Source organism: Homo sapiens, chromosome 16, assembly GCF_000001405.40.
Source record: "Homo sapiens chromosome 16, GRCh38.p14 Primary Assembly".
NCBI classification, from domain to species: Eukaryota; Metazoa; Chordata; class Mammalia; order Primates; family Hominidae; genus Homo; species Homo sapiens.
Window position 1 is genome coordinate 9,378,493 of NC_000016.10, and position 23,560 is coordinate 9,402,052.

At 44.5% G+C, this 23,560-nt stretch overlaps 1 long non-coding RNA gene across 1 annotated transcript in view; it reads left to right on the top strand.

Moving 5' to 3' along the window:
* LINC02177 (long intergenic non-protein coding RNA 2177) overlaps window positions 1-23,560 on the top strand; it is a 52,506-nt gene that overhangs the window by 22,905 nt on the left and 6,041 nt on the right. The window contains exon 2 of the long non-coding RNA NR_135195.1: window positions 23,238-23,291. This is a non-coding gene — a long non-coding RNA (long intergenic non-protein coding RNA 2177). The remainder of the gene's footprint in view (window positions 1-23,237; window positions 23,292-23,560) is intronic.

Consider the following 23,560-nt stretch of genomic DNA (forward strand, 5'->3'; position numbering starts at 1 on the left):
CCAGACCCTCATGCTTGGGAAACTCTGTGGATAAAGAGTTAACAAGGTAGTGCTTTAGCAAACACCAGAATATCCTGGTACACCTGCTGAAAATGCAGGTGCCTGACCTCTCCCCCTAGACTGGTTCAGGCTATCCTTTTAGGGATCTCCAGTTTTGACCAGTGCCCCAGTTGCTGCTGGTGCAAATCGTCCCTGGCCCCACCTGGGGAACCGCCAGACTAGAGTCTGGTCTGGAGCTGGAGTCCCCTCCTTTGTTTAATGCTGGCTTCGAGAACACAGGAGATGAATTATGCAGGTCTGTGGAGACTTTCAGGAAGACCTCAGCCACCTTGTTAATTGGAGCTCAACAGAACCGAGATTGGAGGTTGGAATAAAAATAGCTGCATGCAGGTTGAAAGGTAAAATTAGCTTTGGTGTCAGGAATTTGGTTTCAAGGTTGTGCGGGAGATGGGGTGAGGAGTCAAGGAACTGCATGTTTGTGTTCTAGTGTTTGTGTGGGTCATTTGGAGCAGCTGAGGGGTAGCTCACACAGAAATCCGAACAATGAGGTCATACTAACATCCTGCATTTGTTTCCCAGGGCTGCTGTAACAATGACCACAAACTGGGTGGCTTGCATCATCGGAAATGTATTTGCTCACAGCTTGGGAGGCCAGAAGTTCAAAAGAAGGGTTGGGCAAGGCCATGTTCTTTCTGAAGGCCGTAGGGGAGAATTGGTCCTGTGCCTTCCTCTTAGTTTTGGTGTTGCAGGCAATCCTTGGTGTTCCTTGGCTTAAGGATGCGTCACTCCAGTCTCCACCATGGTGTGATTATTGGGTGTTTGTGTCTGTGTCCAAATTTTGCATTTTCCTAGGGACACCGTCCTATCAGATTAGAGCTCACCCCAATGACCTTATCTTAATTTGATGTCATTTGCAAAAAGCCTATTTCCAAATAAGGTCATATTCACAAGTCCTGGGTGTTAGGGCTTCAATATATCTTTCTGAGGGACACCATACAACCGGGAACACGTGCATTCCACAAGTATCCATTGAGCACCTACTGTATGCTCAGTGCTAGGCACTCAGGGGACATAAGAGTGTGAACAGGGCAGCCTTACCAATCTCACAGGCTAATGCCATGCCTGGTGCACTCACGTACATGAAAACATGTGCTTGCCTCAGCAGCTTATCCCTATTAAAGATGGGCAAAATCACCTGTAATCCCCACCCAGGCTTGTAGCCACCAGGGTCCATCCTGCCTTATGGCTCTGGTTCTAAGACCCTGGAGTCTCAAAAAATGAAGACTATTTTGCTGGTAGAATCTAGGAGTTTTAAGTGGTTACATGATGAAGCCCTCACCCAGAGAATCAAAGTAGTTCCTGGACTAAACCACAGAGAGAGGGAGGCTTGTCTAAAGACTACAATTTTTTTTTTTTTTTTGAGACAAATTCTTGCTCTGTCACCGAGGCTGGAGTACAGTGGTGCGATCTCGGCTCACTGCAACCTCTGCCTCTTGGATTCAGGCAGTTCTCCCTGCCTCAGCCTCCTGAGTAGCTGGGATCACAGGCGCCTGCCAACATGCCCGGCTAATTTTTGAATTTTTAGTAGAGAGAGGGTTTTGCCATGTTGGCCAGGTTGATCTTGAACTCCTGACCTCAGGTGATCCGCCTGCTTCAGCCTCCCAAAGTGCTGGGATTGTAGGTGTGAGCCACTGTGCCCAAAGACTACACATTTTAAAATCACAATCATTTCCTAAATCCTCTCCCGTTTCCCATACCTTTCCCCATGCAACATCCTTTTAGTAAGACTGGGAGGAGATGTATGCAGTGGGTACGTTCAAACTACACCTGTGCAATCCTGCATAATCTAGCCTTCTTTAATTCTGTTACTCCCTGTTTATTGCTGAATGGAGTCATTCAAACATTGGCTCAGAAAATATTTGAGCTTCTGTTTGATGCCACTTGCCAGAGATGGCAGCAGACAGAACAGACCAAGTCTTTGTCTTATGGAGTCTACATTCTTTGGAGAAGGAAAGAAAAAAACCAAGGAATGAAGGAGCCCCCTCTGTTGACTATGATCATCTCCTTATATCCTAAGAAGTCTGGTGTCCCAAATGAGCCATAACTGTCTGCCTCGTACCATCTATACCCGTGTCTTAGTCCATTCAGGCTGTGATAACAAAAATACCATACCCTAGGTGGCTTATCCACAACACAAATTTGTTGCTCATGGTTCTGGAGGCTGGGAAGTCCAAGATCAAGACACTGGCAGGTGCAGGGTCTGGTGAGGGCCCACTCTGTGGTTCACAGGTGGCAGCTTCCAGCTGTGTCCTCACATAGTAGAAGGGGGCTAGCTTGCTCTCTGGGGTTCCCATTATAATGATATTGTTGTAGTCCATTTGTGTTGCTATTGCTAAAGGAATTGTATTGCTAAAGGAATACCTGAGACTGGATAATTTATAAAGAAAAGAGGTTTATTTGGCTCACAATTCTGCAGGCTGTACAAGAAGCATGGTGCCAGCATCTGCTTGGCTTCTGGTGAGGGTCTCAGGCAGCTTCCACTCATGGTGGAAGGGGAAGGGGAGTCCATATATGAAGAGATCACAAGGCAACAGAGGAAGCAAGAGAGGGAGGGAAGAGGCGCCAGGTTCTTTTAAACAACCAGCTCTTGCAGGGACTAATAGAGAACTCACTCATTATTGTGAGGATAGCACCAAGCCATTTATGAGAGACCCGCCCCCCATAACCCAGACACCTTCCACAAGGTTCCACCTCTAACACTGGGGATCCAATTTGAACACAAGTTTTGGCAGAGACAGACAACCAAACTATAGCAGGGACTAATACCATTCATGACAGAAACATCCTCATGACCTAATCATTTTCCAAAGGCTCTACCCTCTAGTACCATCACATTGGGAGTTAGGTTTCAACGTATGCATTTTTAGGGGGCATAAACATTCAGATCATAGCAACCCGAGAGGGAAACAGGTGCTTGTGCCTTCTGCATAGCCTTCACTTAGGGAGAACTGTGCTGTGCAACAGCCACGTCTACCAGAGCAGAGGAGAGCTGTTAGGCAGGAATGGCTGCTCCAAAGCCACCTTTTCTTGAAGCTCCTAGCAACAAACTGGGAGCAGGGAACCAGGGATGAGTGTTTTCTGCCCCCTCTAGTTTCAACGTCAATTCTATTTTCATACTAGAACTCAGTGTGATTATTAAAATTATATCTCTACGCCCAGGCCTCTGTGACTCCAAGCCTATGATCTTTCCCCTAAACGGAGTTAGCTGTGCTTAACTGAGAGGCACAGGTAGAAATCATAGCCCCAGGGAGGACCAGGGCATAGCGGGATCCCCCCACCTCTCAGGCACCCACCTCCTCCCTGCCATGAATCGAACCGATCCTCCCTGGTACCTGGACCACCAACCTGCAAGTCACCCTCTGCCCCTCCTTTTTCCTTATACCCAGATTTACGTGGCCATCAAGTCTATTGCTGCAGAAATGTCCCCAGAAACTGTGACTTCCCCATTGTTCTTTTGCCACCAGCCTCTCTGGGCTGCTTGTGTCAGCTACAGCCTTCTGTCCCTCTTCTGCAATCAGCCAGTGATTCTCCCATCACACAAAATTGACCTTGGGGTTAATATAGTAGAGTCACCGTCACTGTGAGTCACTGTCACCGTGCTGAATGAGAAGCTTGTCTAGAAAGAAGGGAGAATATATCCAAGGGGCATTGAGCTCCGAAAAACCAGGGAAAGGAGCTTTGAAGGGAGGTGCCTACAGAGTAGACAGCAGGCAGGGAGGGGGCTGGGGAGGCACAAGGAGTGGACCTGAATTTATTGTGCCTTTCTCAGGGCTGAGACTAGGGTGAGGTGAGTGAGGCCTTGGATGCAAAACTTAAGGGGGTCCCTCAAACTCAGCAACCAAGATGAATAATGTTTCAATGCAATATTTTAACAAATCAAAATTAATGCAAAAAACCATGATGAGCAACATATCAATTTTAAACGAGATCATATAGGCAAAAGCTCCTAGCTCAGAACCTGGCACTTAGTAGGTATTCAAGAAATCAAAAAACAAGAATGGAAAAGTAATAATAATGCCGAATATGGCCAGCATTCTTTGAGGGACTTTGCATGTATCAACTCAATTCATCTAATCTTTACAACAACCCTACAAGGTGGATTTCATTATTTCCATTTTTAAAAAGTTCATTTTTTTCCCCTTTTTTTAAGAGACGTGGTCTTGCTCTGTCACCCAGGCTGGAGTGCAGTGGTGTGATCATTGCTCACTGTAGACTTTAACTCCTGAACTCAAGAAATCCTCCCATCTCAGCCTCTTGAGCAGCTGAGACTATGGGTATGCACCACCACATCTGGCTAATTGTTAAATTTTTTGTGATTTTTTTTTTCTGTTGCCTAGGCTGGTCTCGAACTCCTGGCCTCAAGCGATCCTCCCATCTCAGCCTCCCAAAGTGCTGGGATTACAGATGTGAACCATTGCATCTGGACTTTATTATCCCCACTTTATAGATGAGGAAAACAAAGGCATGCAGAAGTAAAAGGATTCCTTACAGTCCATACAGCAAGCAAGGGGTGGAGTCAGAAAGAAAACTCAGATCATTTGATGGCATTCATCCATAGGAAAAACCATGGATGCCTTAATGCTCATGGTGGAATAAAAAGAATTCAGAGGTTTCCATTGTTTCTCTGAGTCTTCATTTTGGATTGACCTGAACAGAATAAGGCCAGTGGGAGACATTTCCCACTGCTAGTAAATAAATAAAATTATATAATATAAGGAGTCTCTCTGGGACCCAGTGGCTACATAATACCTGTTAAAAGTGGAGGAAGAAAAACCATCTCCTCTAGGGTTTGACATCAGTCTAATAGGTGACACTATTGATTTGATTCACTGCTCGCCCCACAACAGCAGCCATCAGGGAGGAAGACTTTATCAGGCGGGCAGCAGGAGACAGCAGGAGCAGAGGGTGTAATCAGTTTAACCTTCTTCAGCTGCCAAGTCCTGGGAGGGGAAGCGACTGTCCCTTTTCCAGGAGAGAGACTCATGGGTAGCAGACCCTCAATGACAGCCCCTTTTTCTGGTGGGGAGGGTGGCCCACAAAGAAAGAGGATAGAGGAGGGATTTGTCTGCTCCTGTAAATCTCCATGGTAAATACTGGAGCTTAATTTGGACTGAAAAATCCTCTTTGAAAAGTAAAGAGTTGTATGCACGACTCTTAGCTTAAAGGCAACTTCCCCATCTCTCTCTGTCCTAGCACCCTGTTTATTTCCTTCATAGAACCAATCAGTGATTATTTAATTTGGTTTCCTCACTTGCTTGCTTCTGTCTACCTCCCCAACAAATCCATAGTGTGCTGGAAGCAGCCCATCTTCCTAACTCCATTTTGTTGCTGGGTAGCTTGAAGAGGCTGCTGAGTATGGGGGCACCCCTTTGGTTTTACATCCAAAGCCTCACTCGCCTCACCCTCGTCTCAGCCCTGAGAGAGGCACAATAAATTCAGGTCCGCTCCTTATGCCTTGCCAGCCCCCTCCCTGCCCACTGTCTACTCTGCAGGCACCTCCCTTCAAAGCCCCTTTCCCTGGTTTTTCAGAGCTCAGCGCCCCCTGGGCATAACCTCCCTTCTTTCTAGATAAGCTTCTCCTTCAGCACTGTGACGGTGACTCTACTATATCAACCCCAAGGTCAATTTTGTGTGTTGGGAGAATCACTGGCTGATTCATGATAGGAATATTTACACCATGGCAACTGGCAGATGCTAGAAATCAGGGCCTCCTGCCTCTTCATCATACCACTAAGCATCTTGAGGAGGGACATTTTGTCTGCTTTGTCTTCCATGTGGTGCTCTGTCTCTGGCTCAGGGCCAGGCTCACAATTGTTAACTGGTAAATATTTCCTGACTTGATGAATGGATTCAGTTGTTGGCATTGCTTGTACTCTGAAGAAATTGTTTCAACTTAAGTCCGTAATGGTGATTCATTCCCTACCTTGAATCAGATACAAGATGAAAAAAAATCATGGTTTTCTGTCCTCCAGAGGCTCACGGTCCGGGTGTGGGGTTTGGGAGAGGATGCAGGACAGATAACCAGTACAGTGCAGTGCAGTAATTGGCAAGAGGAGGTGCTTACAGATGCTGCTGATGAGATGGTAGGTTAGAGGATATCCTTGTTTATATGCTGAGGGATTATAACCATCTATGGTGTCAGTCCTCTGTTTTAAACATCATGGAGCCAAGCAGATGTTGACTTAATTCATGCCCTGGAAGACACAGATCTGTCTAACTCCCTGCCCGACTCTTAACTGAGCTGTGGGATACAGGGTGCGTTAGTTCTCAGAGTCCCAGTTTGCTCATGTGATAAGATGAAAATAATAAAACCTACCCCATGAGTGTTGTTTAGAAGGATAAATTAAATGACAGTTATAGACTGAGTAGACACTCAATAAAGCACTCACTGAATCAAATCAAAATGTAATCAACCAATATGTTGGAATATTTGTTTTTCCTCAAAAGCAAAATACAATATATGTAACAAACCTGCACATTGTGCACATGTACCCTAAAACTTAAAGTATAATAATAATAAAATTAAAAAAGAGAGAGGAAAAAAAGCAAAATACACCATTCCAGTGTAGATGCTTTCTCTTTTGTGTCTCTTCCTTGCTCCCCATTTCCCTCTCCCTCTCCTTATCCCCCTTCTCTTTTTTATTGTTTTTTTGAGACAGGGTCTCACTCTCACCCAGGCTGGGGTGCAATGGCACAATCTCAGCTCACTGCAGCCTCAATCTCCTGCACTCAAGCAGTCCTCCCACCTCAGCCTCCTGAGTAGCTGTGATCACAGTTGCACAGCACCACACCCAGCTAATTTTCTGTACTTTTTTTTGTAGAGACGGGGTCTCACCTTGTTGCCTAGGCTGGTCTCGAACTTCTGACCTCAAGTGATCCACCCACCCCCGCCTCTCCAAGTGTGGAATTACAGGTGTGAGCCACAGCACCCGGCCCCTCCTTCTCTTTCTCTCTAATCTCTTACACCTCCACTTTCTTATAATCTTACCAACAGCTAACATTTATTGAGCATTTACTTAGTGCCAGGCCCATCCCAAGCACTTTACAACTATCACTTACTTAGTCTGAACAACAGTCCTGAAGGTTGGTACTATCATTATTCCCAGTTTATAAATGAGTAAACAGAGGATAACTTGCCCAGTGCCACTCAGCAATTAAGTGGCAGAGCTGGGATGGGAACCCACACACTGTGTCTCATGCTCCCATCATGTTCCTCCCACTGTCTTCCCATCAAATATGCTGTTCGAGTGAAAAAGAAACAGCACAGCACCAGAGGTCTGGGACCATCTGGGGTGGGGGACCCTCAGCCTGGGGCTGTGACGGGAGAGTACAGAGGATTAGAAGGTGTATTAGTCTGTTTTCACACTGCTGATAAAAGACATGCCTGAGACTGAGTCATTTATAATGAAAAAGAGGTTTAAAGGACTCACAGTTCCACGTCACTGGGGAGGTCTCACAATCATGGTGGAAGGTGAAAGGCAGGTCTTACATGGCAGCAGATAAGAGAGAGCTTGTGCAGGGGAACTCCCCTTTATAAAACTATCAGATCTCTTGAGACTTATTCAGTACCACGAGAACAGCATGGGAAAGACCCGCCCCCATGATTCAGTTACCTCCCACTGGGTCCCTCCCACAACACGTGGGAATTGTGGAAGCTACAGTTCAAGTTAAGATTTGAGTGGGGACACAGAGCCAGACCGTATAAGAAGGGGACAGATATACCCAGCAGGTTTCGCAGAGCCTTTTCCCTTCTGATGGGAGGGGAGGCAGGCAGGCTTTTTCTCATTTTCCTTTGAGTACCAGCAGCAGCTGAGGAGAGATGCTGACCATTCCTTTTCTTAATGAGGGAGGCTCAGGAAAGAGCAATTAACAGCATCAGCTTTTATTTTCTCCCAGGAGGGACAGGGCTGATCTTGTTCTTTCTCTCTGGACCAGGCAGGCTTTTTTTTTTTCTTTTTTTTTTTTTTATTATTATTATACTTTAAGAATTTGGTCAGGAGTGTCAACAGCAGGAGTCACAAGACTTTGACAGAAGCCACCACATGAAGGGGCCACAGTGTCTGCCCTGCTTCTGGGGTTTCTGGTCTGTATCCTGAGAGGTACAAGGCTGCTCTGGGGCACCACAGAGAATGCCAGCCTTGCTCGTTTCTCATCCTTTCTGGGAGTGGCAGCAAGCGTGAGCTCTCTAAAATCCAGCCAGGAGGCTGGGTGCGGTGGTTCATGCCTGTAATCCCAGCACTTTGGGAGGCCAAGGTGGGCAGATCACTTGAGGTCAGGAGTTTGAGATAAGCATGGCCAATATGATGAAACCCTGTCTCTACTAAAAAATATAAAAATTAGCCGGGCATGGTGGCACATATCTGTAATTCTAGCTACTAGAGAGGCTGAGGCAGGAGAATTGCTTGAACCTGGGAGGTGGAGGTTGCAGTGAGCTGAGATTGTGCCATTGCACCCCAGCCTGGGTGACACAGCTAGACTGTCTCAAATAATATGCAGCCAGGAATGTCCACTTCTCCTGGGACCCTGAATAAAGTCCAGACTCCCTGGGCACTCACTGCTCCTTCCAAGCTGACACCTTCACCATCTTTCCTTCTCCATCCAGGCACCTGCTTTACCAAACTGTTTATGGGTTAAAATATGCAATCAGTTGAGACCTAGTAAGAAATATATATTTGGTCTCTGCCTCTGGTTTCTGGAACAGAGCTTCTAAAACTCGTGTAACTTCCTGAGTGATACTGATGATAGGAGCATCTTTTGTTATAATATTTGGTCTTCGTCCCTGGTTCCTTACACAAGAGCTTCTGAGATACTTGGAATCTCCAGAGTGATATGAGTGCCTTTTTGTATGCTAATGAGATTATCTTGGCTGGGATCCTGTAGATAGCTTCAAAATAGAGGCTGGTTGTCAGAAAAACCAACTATGTGATTAGAGAGTTGGAATGGTTAGCCCCACCCCTGAACCTCTAGGGATGGGAGAGGGGCTGCAGCCTGAGTTCAGTCACCAGTGGTCAGTGATTTAACCAATCATGCCTATGTAATGGAACTTCTATGAAACCCCTGAACAATGGGGTTCAGAGAGCTTCTGGGTTGGTGAACATGTCCATATACAGGGGTGGAGGGTGGTGCACCCCAGCTTCACACAAATAGAAGCTCCTGTGCTGAGGACCTTTCCAGACCTAGCCCTACATACTTCTTCCTCTGGCTGTACATTCATATCCTTTATAAAAATAAGCCTGTATTATTAAGTAAAGTATTTTCCTCAGTTCTTTGAGCCATTCTAGCAAAGTACTGAACCTGAGGAGGGGATAGTGGGAACTCCTGACTGATAGCCAGTTTGTAAGAGTGGCCTAGAGCTGAAGATTGACATCTGAAGTAGGAAAGTCTTGTGGGACTGAGCCCTTAACCTGGGGGGTCTGCACTGTCTCTGGATAGTTAGCATTATAATTGAATTAAATTGTAGGACAATCAGTTGGTATATAGAGAATTGGAGAACCACTTGGTGGTGAAGGAACCCACACATTTGGTGTCAGAAGTGTGAGTAGAGTTTTTTTTCAGTTGCATGTCTCTTGCTAGCATCTCAACATTTGCGCCATCCATCTCCTCTGCGTGCAATTCTCCACTCACCCTCTACAACCTACTTGGTGTTCTGATCTTGGTTGGGAATCACATTCTTCTGGAAGCCTTCTCTCACTTATTAGGCCGGATCAGCTCTCTTTGTTTGTTATATGATCTCAGAGTGCCTCACATTCTTCTCTACCCACACTTTTCTTGGTTTATAACCATGTTTATGTGTGTGTGTTACAGCCCTGAAACTCTTTGTACTAGAAATTGTGGTTTCCTGAGAGTAATAGGTGATTTAGACAATACAAAGACAAAACTAGTTCACTGTAAATTTTATCCTTTGTGTGTAGTCAAACACCGCCAGGGATTAGAGCATGGGGACATCTCAATCTCACCTTAAAGAAGAAAGTTTTGGTGCTCTCTCAGGTCTGTTCTAGATAAGAATAATCCCTTCCCCATGATATTAAACAGAGGGATGCCTTCGACCTGTTTTATCCAGAGCCATCCCTTACCCATGACCCCTGTGGTGAGCAGCACCTCCAGGTGTTTCCCTGTCGTCTCAGGCTTTCTGGAGCTACACTCTGAATCTTGTCTTTGAGCATTGCAAGTTGGCTAATTGAGGTGTCTGAGTCCCTGTTAGGGTCATACAAATCTAAAGTTGGTCAGATAAGGGGGATTCACAGGGGCAGCCCAGAACCAGTAACTGCACTAATGGAAGGAATAAAATATTAAGAATTGTGCATAGTTTAGGCATCCAAAGCATCTTGTCTCAAGGTGACTTTCTAACAGTGGATATTGGTGGAAAAAGGGAAGCAAATGTCAGTGGAAATGGGGAAGTAGAAGTTGCTGGGTAGGAAGTAGAGATAAAGGGAAGGAAGAGCTCTCCTGGCATAAGAAACACCCTGAGTGAGGGGGACAGAGAGAGCTTGGGGCATTGGGGGAATGGAAAGGTGAAGCCTAGAGATGGAGTCCGGAGACAGCACCAGGTGAGGGTGAAGGAGAAGCCAAGGTCAGACCATGCAGGACCTCAAAAAGGAAATTAGTCTGTTTTCTAAATGCCATTAGGCATTTTTCTTGTTGTTGCTGGGCAAAGGTATGAAAAGATCATGATTTCATTGTCTCTTTAAAGATCACTCTGGCTGCTGCATGGAGAATGGGTTGTAGGGGAGGCGAGGATGGATGTGGTGGAATTGTTATAATCTTGGCAAGAGATGATAATGGCTTGGACCCTCGTGGTAACAGTGGAAGTAGAAAGAGAGGGCAATTTAAAAGATAATTAAAGGGTAAGCTTGACAAAACTTGGGACTTATTTATCTCTATGTCCATGCTTAGGGGGGTATGGTAGGTTGAGTTATTGATTTCAAATTTTTAATCCCTCCTCCCACCATCCATACTTTGCCATGATCTCATCAGGTCTGGAGTTTATACTTCATTCCTTGACCTCAGGCAGTGTCATGTGAGTTGTGGTAGGCAATTACATGAAAGAAGTGACATATGCCAGTTCCAACTCTAGGCCTTAAGGGGACTTACCTGTCTTTCTCACCCTATGCAGAGGCCCATGGCATATGTGGGGAACTGAGAGGTCTTTGGTCAACAGTCACTGGGGACCTGGGTCCCGCCAACAACCACATGATTCATTTTGGAAGCAGATCCTCCCCTACATGAGCCTTCAGATGATCACAGCCACATATGACAGCTTGATGGCAACCTCATGAGAGAGACAGAACTGAAACCACCCTGATTCCTGACCCACAGAAATTGTGAGATAAAAAATGTTTGTTGTTTCATGCTGCTAAGTTTTGAGGATAACATGTTATGCAGCAATAGATAACTAATACATCCACTCACTAACTTATGCTTACTTCTTATTGGCTAGACTCTGTCACATGGTGCATCCATTCACAAGGGAGGCTGGGAAATGTAGTTTAAACCAGACCAATCTGAATAAAGGGAGGGCTCTATTAGTGAGGATGAAGGGGGAAATGGGTTCTGCATTAAGCCATTTCTGTCCTGCTTTAGTAGCACAAAGCTGCAAGGAGTTCACAATAGTTTGTGGATGACATCTTCCTTTTCCTTTGGTTTTTCTTTACTAATTTCAGGTAGATAGACTGGAATTCAGCTCCCATGCAATGGGTGTGCTATTGCTTCAGTTGTAGGTTTTTGGATAAAATTTTGGGTTGAGGAAAGTAAAAGTTCTACCTGTGAATATCTTTCCTGTAAATAAGTCAGTTACAAAGATATCTGCATCATCAGTCAACCATTTAATTTGTTAAGAGGACATTAATTTAAGACCCTTCCACAGGGCAATTGCATGCTATGCAAGGATATGGAAGGATTTACAGTTTCTTAATTTTTTGAAGTGGCAGATCTTCTTTCTTCCCTTTTCAAGAGGAGAGGACCAAAATGCCATCATAATATTTCATGTCATATACTTGAATATCTGCCACAGGAACATATTACTTTTTTTCTAATTAAATGGGGAGTGCAGTCCTATTTTTTACATTCTCATAAAATGCATTAATCACACCAAAAGCCTTTTCGTGCTGTTTCCCAGCAGGAAGGAAATTAACAGTCATTGATGACCTACTGTGTGCCAGGTGCTTTCCATAGATTAACTACTTTATATGCTTGCAACATCCCAGTGATGGAGGTCATTATTATTATCTCTAATTTATAGATTAGATTTTAGAAGTGACTTGCCTAGAGGAAAGTTGAGATTTGAATCCAGGACTTTCTGGTTTCAAAGTCTTTCCATGCTGATAAATTTTCACTCACCCCTGCCCCCAATTTAAGAAGGACCAATTGATCCTTAATGACCAACATTTAACTTTCTTCTGTTAGTTGGTTCCTTGACCCAGTTAAAAGGAAAGTTAATTCTGAAACTTTTAGGCACTTACATAGTGCCTAATTGTGTTTTAATATTTGATGTGCTTAGAAACGTATGAGGAATTAGTGCTAATTCTGAGATGATTAGCATATTCTGGCGTGTCTTATAGTATGTGAACTGTGGTCTTCAGGACATTCTTGAACTTTTGCTTCTAATTATCCCCACGTGGATATGAACAGTGCTGCTATTCAAGGAGCATGTCAGAGCTTCATTTTTAAAAAAGAATTAGCAGCAACTGGATCTGTTTTTTCTGAAGATATTGGCTGAATGACTAGTTGGTGGTATTCTATTGCTTATTGAGTGGTGAACCTCTGCCCAGATTTAATTTGGATGGCAGGATCAACTTCAGTCAAAATTTTGTTTTCTAGTTTTTAAAAATTAAGTTTTTTTCGGATGGGGCAGGGCATTTTAGATTCACATCCAGTTGTAAGAGCTAATATAGAGAGATACTATATATCCTTTACCTTATTTAGTGGTACTAAGGACAATATCACAACTAGGATATCGACACTGATACAGTGAAGACACAGAAGTCACAAGGGTTCCTTCTGCTGTCCTTTTATAGCCATACATAGTTAAGGTACTTTGATTGAGAGGAAGAAAGTCAACTTAAGAGAGCTTAAGCAAGAAAAAATATTAAAAGGAATTTCTTGGAAGGTTTAGTTAATACCTGCTGTTATCTGATTGCCATCTCCTATTTCTTCTTTTCTTTCTCATCTCATCAAGTGACCCTGTTGAGGCTGTCAATTATAGCCTCTTTGGTGAGGCTGTCAATCGTAGACCTTGCTTCCGTTGCCATAGAGAGCCAGGTGATCCAAGCCCAGCCAATTACAGTAAACCAGTTCCCCACTAAACAGAGATTAGTGGTTGGGTGAGTGGGTGAGTGTATTTTCAATTCTGGCCTAAAAATTTTCCCTGGAAGTTTTTGATGTGGAGCTGGAGAACGGGCTTGCCTCTGAGGTCCTGGAGCTGGACCCATGGGGATTCATTTCTTGCAGCCTGCTTCTTACCTGGAAAAATCCTGTCTGTAGAAAAAGAGAATGAAGCCCACATCAAAGATAGGTAAACTGGAAAGGTGTCAGATAAAGCAAGTCATGGAGATGTGAACTTGTTTCTTCTTTGGACCCAGTTATGCCTGAGGTCACCTCCTTTTCTCTACTTATTGTTAAGTAAATTAGTAACTCCCAAATTTTACTTACATTGATTTGAGTACTGCCACTTTCCACCCAATGAATGCCATTGAATCCTGAAGGATCCCAGGAAATATCTTGGGCCCAACCACAGCAGGACCTCTCTAGGTTCTGACACTAGGGGCTCAAGGCATTAAGACCTACCAGGACTCTCTTTGATTCTGTGGGGAAGAAACTTGGGAGATGCTTAGCTGAGTGAGTCTGTCTCATCTCAACGGGGACTGCAGTTATCTGAAGGCCCAATTGAGGTTGGAGAACTCACTTTCAAGATGACTCATAGACTTCAGATTGGTCCTGGATATTGGCAGGAGACCTCACTTTCTTGCCGCCTGCCCTAGTCATAGGGCTGCTTGAGTGCCCTCACAACATGGCAGATGGAATACTTCAGAGTGAGTGATCCGAGAGAAGAGCCACAGTGTCTCTTACTACCCAGCCTCAGAAGTCGCACGCTGTAATTTCTGAAATATCCTATTAGTTTCACAGGTCAGCCTTTTCAATATGAAAGTGGACTACACAAGGGCATAAACACCAGGAAGAAAGAATCACTGGGGGTCATCTCGGAGGCTGGCAAACATAACTAGATACAATAATGTCCACAAGTTCGTAGTTCAGTGAGGCACACAGCAGACTGTCAGTTCCTCCCTTCACTTTATTTAATGACAATCTCTACATTTAAATTTCTGACTCAATCAGAAAGAATTTCCCATCTTTCTATTTTTCTCTGAGGCTCATAAGTGTAGGAGTTTGTAAATCTAGAAACGTGCTGTCTGTATTGTGGATTCTGTTTTCTTTCTCACCCGTGAGTGTCTTCTTAATTCACAAGACCCACTTACCAATTAACCTTTATTCTCTCACTGAATGGAAGGTAATCTCTCCCCCATGAGGGCCTGGAGCTCCAGGAGGGGCTTAATTCTGAAAACTCATGAAAAGTAGCAACACAAAGACAAGTGTCATTTATGAGCCCTCGTGGGCCCCAGGCTGATTAGAAAACCGTTGTAAAGTAATTGCAGAGCTTGAGGAGTCTCCGGAGCGGAATTCCGGCTGGCGATAAGGATGTTGCTAAAATCAGTCTGAATAAAGAGAATTTTGTGGAATGAACCAAGCCTGTGAAGCAAACAAGGCCTCCAGCTTCCTGAATGACTGGAGCCCCATGATACAGAAAAAGGCATCTCAAATTCAAATTTCACCACAAAGGCTAATTTTAGGTTGATTTTAATGAGGCAAAGGGAGGGAGAAAAGAGGAAGGGAAATTTAAAAATTGGGGAAAAGGACAGCTTTTATTCATTCAGTAAATACTCATCAGGCATCCACCTTGGACTTCCCCCTAGTTAGGGGCAGTGCACAAGAAGATTAGCTTCATGGAATCCCTGCCCTCAGGGAGTGCATCATCTGGACAGGGAAACTGAGCTGGAAACAAGTCATGTCTCTTAATGTGTGGGATGAGAACACAGAAGATGGTATGCACCCCAGCCAGAAGATCAGAATAGATTTCCTGAAGGAGGCTATGATGCCTGAGCTGAATTTTAAAGCTCAGCAGCAAAGGAAAGTGCAAAGAAGGCACCCGGATAGAGAGGCCAATAAGTGCTATGACACGGAGACGTGAGCTGCAGGAAACCAGGCAAACGTGGAGAGGAAGCCTGTCCTCACATTCCCTGGGGCTCCCAGGCTGGTGAGAAAGATGGAGGTGGAAACCACCAGCGTTTTAATCTTGTGCTTCATGCTTAATGTATTCACTTCTTTTATTAGAGCAGTGTGCACGGTCTCTGCATACACGCCTGTTAAACAGCACGCCCTTCTCTCCCCTCCCCTTCCCTCCCCCTTCCTGTCTCCCTTCCCCATCCCCCTTCTTCCCTCCCTCCCTCCCTTCCTGCTTCCCTCCCTTCCTCCCTCCCTCCCTCCCTGCCTTCCTGCTTCCCTTCCTTCTTCCCTCCCTCCCTTCCACCTTTCCTCCCTTCCTGCTTCCCTCCCTCCCTCTCTCCTTCCCTCCCTTCCTTCTGCCTCCCTCCCTTCCTGCCTCCCTCCCTCCCTTCCTGCCTCCTTCCCTTCCTGCCTCCTTCCCTTCCTGCCTCCTTCCCTTCCTGCCTCCTTCCCTCCCTCCCTTCCTGCCTCCTTCCCTCCCTCCCTTCCTGCCTCCTTCCCTTCCTGCCTCCTTCCCTTCCTGCCTCCTTCCCTCCCTCCCTTCCTGCCTCCTTCCCTTCCTGCCTCCTTCCCTCCCTCCCTTCCTGCCTCCTTCCCTTCCTGCCTCCTTCCCTCCCTCCCTTCCTGCCTCCTTCCCTTCCTCCCTTCCTTCCTCCCTCCCTTTCTCCCTCTCTCCCATTCTTCTTCGCTTCCTCTCTTTCTCCCTCCCTTCCTGCTTCCCTCCCTTCCACCCTCCCTCCCTTCCTGCTTCCCTCCCTTCCACCCTCCCTCCCTTCCTGCTTCCCTCCCTTCCACCCTCACTTCCTCCTTCCCTCCCTTCCACTCTCCCTCCCTTCCTGCCTCACTCCTTTGCTCCCTCCCTCCCATCCTGCCTCCTTCCCTTCCTTTCTCCCTCCCTTCCTCTCTCCCTCCCTTCCTTCCTCCCTTCTCCCTTTCTTCTTCCCTTCCTCCCTCCCTTCCTGCTTCCTTCCCATCCTGCTTCCTCCCCTTCCTACCTCCCTCTCTTCCTCCCTCCCTTGCTGCCTGCTTCTGTCCCTTCCTCCCTCCCTCCCTCCCTCGCTTCCTGCTTCCCTCTCCCCTCCCTCCCACCCTCCGTTGCTCCCTCCTTCCCTTTCTTTGTCTCCATCTTTTTATTTTAAAGCAATAACATCTCTTCGCCTCTACTAGGTATTCTGAGTAAAGGACCTGGTTTAGAAATTACAAAGGTAGAGACACAAGGATGAGGACAGGCGGGAGATGGATGAGAGAGACACTTCCTTAACTGATTTATTTTTGTTCATTTTCATTTTTTAAAATTTATTTATTGTCTTTACTTTGTAATTTTTTCCTTTTATTTTTATTTGGCACCTAATAATTGTACGCGTCCGTCAGGTACAGAGTGATATTTCAGTAGGTGTATTCGATGTATAATGATACAAATCAGGGTAATTAGCATATCTGCCATCTCCAATATGAACCATTTCTTTGTGTTGTGAACATTCAAAATCCTCTCTTCTTGCTTTCTCAAATATACAATAAATTATAGTTATCCATTTTTGCCCCACAGTGCTGTAGAATACCAGGGTGAGTTCTGGTGTTGATTTATCTTTTAGAGATAGGCAGACTCTATTCTAAGGGGGTCATGGAGATTGCCGTAGGGATCCCCGCAAGGGCTTCTTGCAGTGGGAGAGAGAGATGGGACTCAACTCCTAAGACGCATCCTAATTTACTACGGGTCAAGGACAAGGGTTTTCTTTTCCTTCTAAACAATAAATGACCTTTCCCCTCATTATAAGCATTTATTCGTGGCTGTTAATTGATACCTGCTTTAACAGAGGTTAGTCTCCATCTGAAGGCTCAGGTTAACACTTTTGCTGGGTCTCTTTGGCTCCAGAGGGGAAATGTTTTTTCTTATAAATAACCAAAGGATGTGCTTGCTACCTTTTCTCTGCTGTCAAGAGGAATGTGAAGCAGGCTTTCTAGAATACTCCTGGCAGCAAAAACATTACTGTTTTTTTCCTGATAAGGGATCATTTTTAAAAAAACATTTTAAAAACCAGTGATGAAAACTATTTCCCTTTCCCTTAACTTCAGCAGCTGAGACACTTTTTCTGGCCAACAAGACTAAATGTGATTGAACTTAGAATTTTCCCTCTGTCTATGCCATAATTACAGTACTGTTTACACAACACACTCTGTGTTTAACTGCAGCAAACACTGCTACAACAGGCTTAACACATAAGCAGAGGTGAGGGTAAATAAATCACCTCTCATGCAGGAGGCAAATGCACCAGTGCTCTGTGCTAAGTTTAGAAATGGGGAGTTTTCCAGCGGTGAGGCCTCAGAATGCTGTGAAGTTCCCATATCAGCACTTTGTGTCCCCTGCCTTCCTCTGGGCCCCACCTGCCAGGAACACCTGAGGAAGCACCTTACAGCCACATAAAGCCCTGGGTCGACGCCTTATGTGGCTATCACACAAGCTTCAGTCAACAGTGTCTTCTGGATAACCTTGAGACATAGGGAGACACATTTGCTCAGTTCAGCATGCATTGGTCGAACACCTGTTATATGACAGATACTGTGTTAGGTCCTGGGATGTAGGGGAGGGCATATGAAATCTGATATCAGAGACCTGGATGCAATAACTGAATCTGAAAATTGCCTTTGCTCATGCTATCCCCCAGGCCTGGAATGCCTGTTCCACCCAAACCTGGTGAACTCCTCCTTGCTTCAAAATTTCACTTGGCTGGGACTTAATTAAACTAAAGAGCTTCTGCACAGCAAAGGAAACTACCAACAGAATAAACAGACAACCTACAGAATGGGAGAAAATATTTACACACTATGCATCTGACAATGGTATAATATCCAGAATCTATAAGAAACTTAAACAAATCAACAAGCAAAAAACAAACAACCCCATTAAAAATGGACAAAGGATGTGAATAGATACTTCTCAAAGAAGACATACAAGTGGCCAAGAAGCATATGAAAAAATGCTCAACATTACTAATCATGACAGAAATGCAAATCAAAACTACAATGAGATACCACCTCACACCAGTCAGAATGGCTATTCCTAAAAAGTCAAAAAGTAACAGATTCTGGCGAGGTTGCAGACAAAAGGCTATGCTTATATACTATTGATGAGAATGTAAATTAGTTCACCCCCTGTTGAAAGCAGTTTGGAGATTTCTCAAAGAACTTAAAACAGAACTACCATTTGACACAACGATCCCATTATTGAGTGTATACCCAAAGGAATATAAATGGTTCTGCCATAAAGACAGATGCACACATATGTTCATCACAGCACCATTCCCAGTAGCAAAGACATGGAATCAACCTAGGCACCCATCAGTGTTGGATTGGACAAAGCAAATGTGGTATATATACACGATGGAATACTACACAGCCATAAAAAAGAACAAAATCATGTCCTTTGCCACAATATGGATGCAGCCGAAGGCCATTATCCTAAGCAAATTAATTCAGGAACAGAAAAACAAATACCACATGTTCTCACTTATAAGTGGGAGCTAAATATTGAGTACATGTGGACACAAAGAAGGGAACAACAGACGCCAGAGCTGCGTGAGGGTGGAAGGTTGGAGGAGGGTAAGGATAAAAAAAATTACGTATTGGGTACTATGCTTATTACCTGGGAAAGGAAATAATTTGTGCACCAAACCCCAGCAATAGGCAGTTTACCCATGTAACAAGCGTGTGTATGTACCCCCAAATCTAAACTAAAAGTTAGAAGGAGAAAAAGTTCTCTTGGCATCACCTCCCCTCTAAAATGTATTTGGATGGGATGGCAGATTTGCCATCTTCCTTCCTGTTTCTCTATTCCCTCATGGGACCTTGAATCAATCTCTCCGTTTTACCTTCCTCTCTCTCTGTCTTTGACACACACACACACACACACACACACACACACACACACACACACAGCTCTTCATTTATTTGCCTATTTACTTGCCTTCATGTCAGTCTCCCTAATGGGCTTCCTTGGATGTTTTGAGGACAATGCCATTATCTTCCTTATTTCTCTATTCCTGTTTTAAAATTTGAGTCCCTGGAATGTAACAGGTGCTCAAAAATGTTTCTTAAGAAAGTGAATAAAAGTATAATTCTAGATACTTCCCATTCCTCTCTGGATCTTTATATCCTCAATTGCACCAAATAAGACCTGACTTGATAATCCTGAGGGTCCTTCTAAGGTCTAACAGTCTTTGACTTTACAAATTGCCAATTACAACTAAGTATGGTTCTATACTAGAATGAATGGAGGAGATGTTCCAGGGCTCCATGAGGCTTGGAGCTATTTTGTTCCTTGATGGAGAAAGAAATAAAAAGAAAGTCCTTGCTTCCTTGTGCATGTCCGTGTCCATCTTAAGCGAGAGTGTTTCATCTCTGGTGGGAATGGTGGTCTCACTGTGGTAGACATTGCTAGCTCTCACCAGTACCTGTTCTCCTTTCTTTCCTGTACATGTGCAAGACCATGTTTACCAGATCCTTTGGAGTTAGGTGGAACCATGCTACTCATTCAGGCTTGAAATGATGTATATTGCTTCTGGGCTGAAGTGCGTTAGAGATGGAGCATGCTTCTCTCTTTCTTTCCTAGCTGTAGCAGATAAGGAGGTCACATATCCAGATCTACAAGCTGGTGGGGCCTCCTACAGCCTGGAGGTCTGAGTGACTATGTAGAGCAGAATGCCCTGCTGATTCAGTGGTTCATGTAGTATAATTGAGAAATAAAATTTTCTTGTGTTAAACTACGGAGATTTGAGGGCTGTTTGTTACTGGACTAAAACCTGGCTCATCCTGACTGACTGAGGCATGCAGCTGTTTATTGGCACTTGTCCAGTGGACTCAAAATCCCTAAGCCCTTCTCTGAGGCATTTTTTTCATGCTGCAGTGAGAACAGCTCTAAAATTCCTTAACAACCTAGTACCACTTACCATTAGTGAACTGCTAAAATTAGAAAAGACAGCTTCTGATAAAGGGGTGATAAAAGAACTGAGAGGGAGAGACCAAATGATTTTGGCTTGTCTCCTGTTAATAAGTTCGTAGACCATTACCATTCTAAGCAGGCAACTGCTTTATCTCTAGGTGTCTGGGGAGTTGGTTATTTCTTCTTTCTGAACAAGGAGGATCATTTGGATAACAAATGAATAAGTCAGCTGGACAATATTTGAGGATCCCAGAAAACAAAAGCTAGGGTTGGAGTCTCAGGACTAGATCTAAGCTGGTACCACACATTGTGGGTCCAAAATGAATCCACAGATAACCCCGAGGATCAGAACCGGGGAAGCCAGATTTGAGCTTCCTCCTTAAGGATGGCTCCAAGCTCAAGTTCAGAGTCAAGTGACCGCAGTTCGAATCACAGCTCCCCCACTTTCTAGCTGCGTTATCTGAGAGAAGGCGCTTTACCTCTCTGAGCAGAGTTAAGAGTAAAAGAGGTGAGATGGTAAAACTGACCTCATGGAACTGTTGTGGGTCTTAAAGGAGACGATATATTTTTGGCAATAAGAAACTGAGGTCACAAATTGGCCATGCAATAAGTGCTCCCTTTTTCCTTTCTGTGTCTTAATTTAGTCTCTTTCACATACTCTTACACTGACAGCTGAGCCTGTCCACTTTTCTGGTTCTTATTGACATGTGTATGCTGATTTCATCCCAAAAGAAATGATATGGACATTCCCAGAGCCAACCTGTGCTGGATGGGGGCTCAAAGGCTACCCCAGGGCCTGTACTGGACACCTTCCATTCTGCATTGGTTATCTATTGCTGCATAAAATATTGCCTGGAAGTATCACTTAAAAAAAAACCCCAACATTTATTATCGCAGTTTCTACAGGTCAAGAATTTGCATGCAGCTTAGCTGAGTGCCTCTGGCTCAGGGACTCCTAAGAAGCTGTAATCAAGGCATCAGCTGGGGTTGCAGAAATCCCTGCTGCAGAGGTCCAGACATCAATTCCTTGCAACAATGATGACTCCATAGGACAGCTGGCAGCTTGCTTTCCTGGGGTGGGGGGCGGGTAGAGAGATGGAGCGAGCGAGCGAGCGAGAGCAAGAGAGAGAGAGAGCGAGAGAGAGAAAGAGAAAGATGACCCAAGACAGAAGCAACGGTCTTTTTGTAATCTGATCTTGGAAGTGAATCCCACTGCTTCTGCCATACTCTATTCATGAAAAACAAGTCAATAATTCCAACCCGTCAACCCATATACCAAGGGATTGGTTTACACAGGTTGCGAACTTCAGGAGGTAAGAATTGTTGGGGGGCATTTTAGGACTTACTCCCTCTGAACCTTCACCTGGAGAACAAGAAACAGGTCTTTGCTTTCAGTTCCTCAAGCATATTCTCTTTCCTTTGGTTGTGTTCTCCTGAGATTTGACCTGGGAGAGTAATGGGGCAGGGTTCAAAATCTCTTCTCAGGGATATAGCAGCATGTAATCTTCCTTGCTCTTCTCCCTAACTGAACTCAATCCTTGCAATCTCTGACTCCTTGAAGGCAGAAAAATACACTCTGATTGATGATCAATTCTCCCGAATCTATTATTAACGGCACAATTTCTGTGCCTAGAGTCTTACAGGGTCTTGATTTCTGATGGTCAAAACTTAGGATTTCAGAATGCAGAAAACTGTTTCTGAAGCTCCTGTTTCTGAAACACAGAAGCAAGTTTCAAAAGCTTGTCTTGAAACTCAAAATCATGGAACTGATTCTCCTCCTCTTTCTGAATTTCTTATGTAACATTCTTTCCCTGAAGCAGAGAACAAAGAAAGTCCTGGCATCCCAGGCTGGCAGAAGCATCATTAGGAAATTAGGGAGAGGATTAGAAACATATCTGTTACTATTTGCCAATATGCTTTTGCTAAACGCATCAGACAGGTAGGACATTGTCATAGCTCAATACATATTAATCTTTTCCTCTTTATATGTTTTGGAAATGGGGCAGTTTCTGGAGATGAGTAGATAGTGAGATCAAGTGTATAGGTGAAACTATAGTATCTAGTCCAGTAACTGGAAATTGCATCCATGGATAGGGATATAATTGGCTTCTGGCAACCAGTGTGCTGTCCTGGCTTACAGATACCAAGACGGGGATGAAGAGGAAGGAAGGAGAGAGACACAGGAAAAACATCAGTGCTTTGTAGTATGCCAGGGAGCCACAGAGTGAGATGAATTGGCTTAGGTCACAAAGCAAGTAGAAGAGTTATTATATCACAGGGCTTAGAATCCTAAGGTATTTCTAACCTCACCAGGTAATCAGTTGAATAAGAGGAAATACAAGAAGATAAGCGGGTCTCTTTGACATATCATCATTATCATCACCTTCATCACCATCCTCATAATCACCTCCATCATCATCTTCATCATCACCTCCATCACTGTCAGCACTTCCACCATCATAACCTCCATCATCACTGTCATCTTCATCATTATCACCTTTATCATCACCACCTTCATCATTACCTCCATCACCATCATCACCTTCATCATCATCACCTCCATCACCATCATCACCTTCATTATCACCTCCATCACCATTATCATAATCTCCATCATCATCATCATCATCACCTTTATCATCACCACCTTCATCATTACCTCCATCACCATCATCACCTCCATCACCATCATCATCACCTTCATTATCACCTCCATCACCATTATCATCATAATCTCCATCATCATCATCATCACCACTATCATCATCATCCTTGTCACCTCCATCATCACCATCATCATCATTAGCATCACCTTCATTGGTACACTAACATTTTTGAATTCTGTATTGAATACATGTTCTCCATGTTACCTCTTTGGCTCATTTACTACTCCAACAATTGCTGCAGCATTCTACTTTGTTTGTGTGCAAACTTAGAGTATTTCTCCTCTTGCTTTCTGCCCCAGGGCTTCTATGAGGCTGTCTTGTAGGATGCCCATGACGATCCTCCAGACACTAAGGTACAGAAAATCTGAACATGTGGGAGAGTGCCTTCTACCATGGGAATAGATCAATGATCCCTTCTTATGGCTTTGGGGCAGATAGCACCTCTGAAAATCCTGGTGATATGGAACCCTATCTGCTCATGGTGGTGACCAACCAAGGACATATCCTTTATGTATTTCTCTCCTTCTCTGTTCCACCAGTCCTTGTCCTGCATTCCTGTCCCCTGGGATCACTTCCCCAAGCAAACTGCCTGCCCCAAACTCTTGCCTCAGGGGTTACTTTC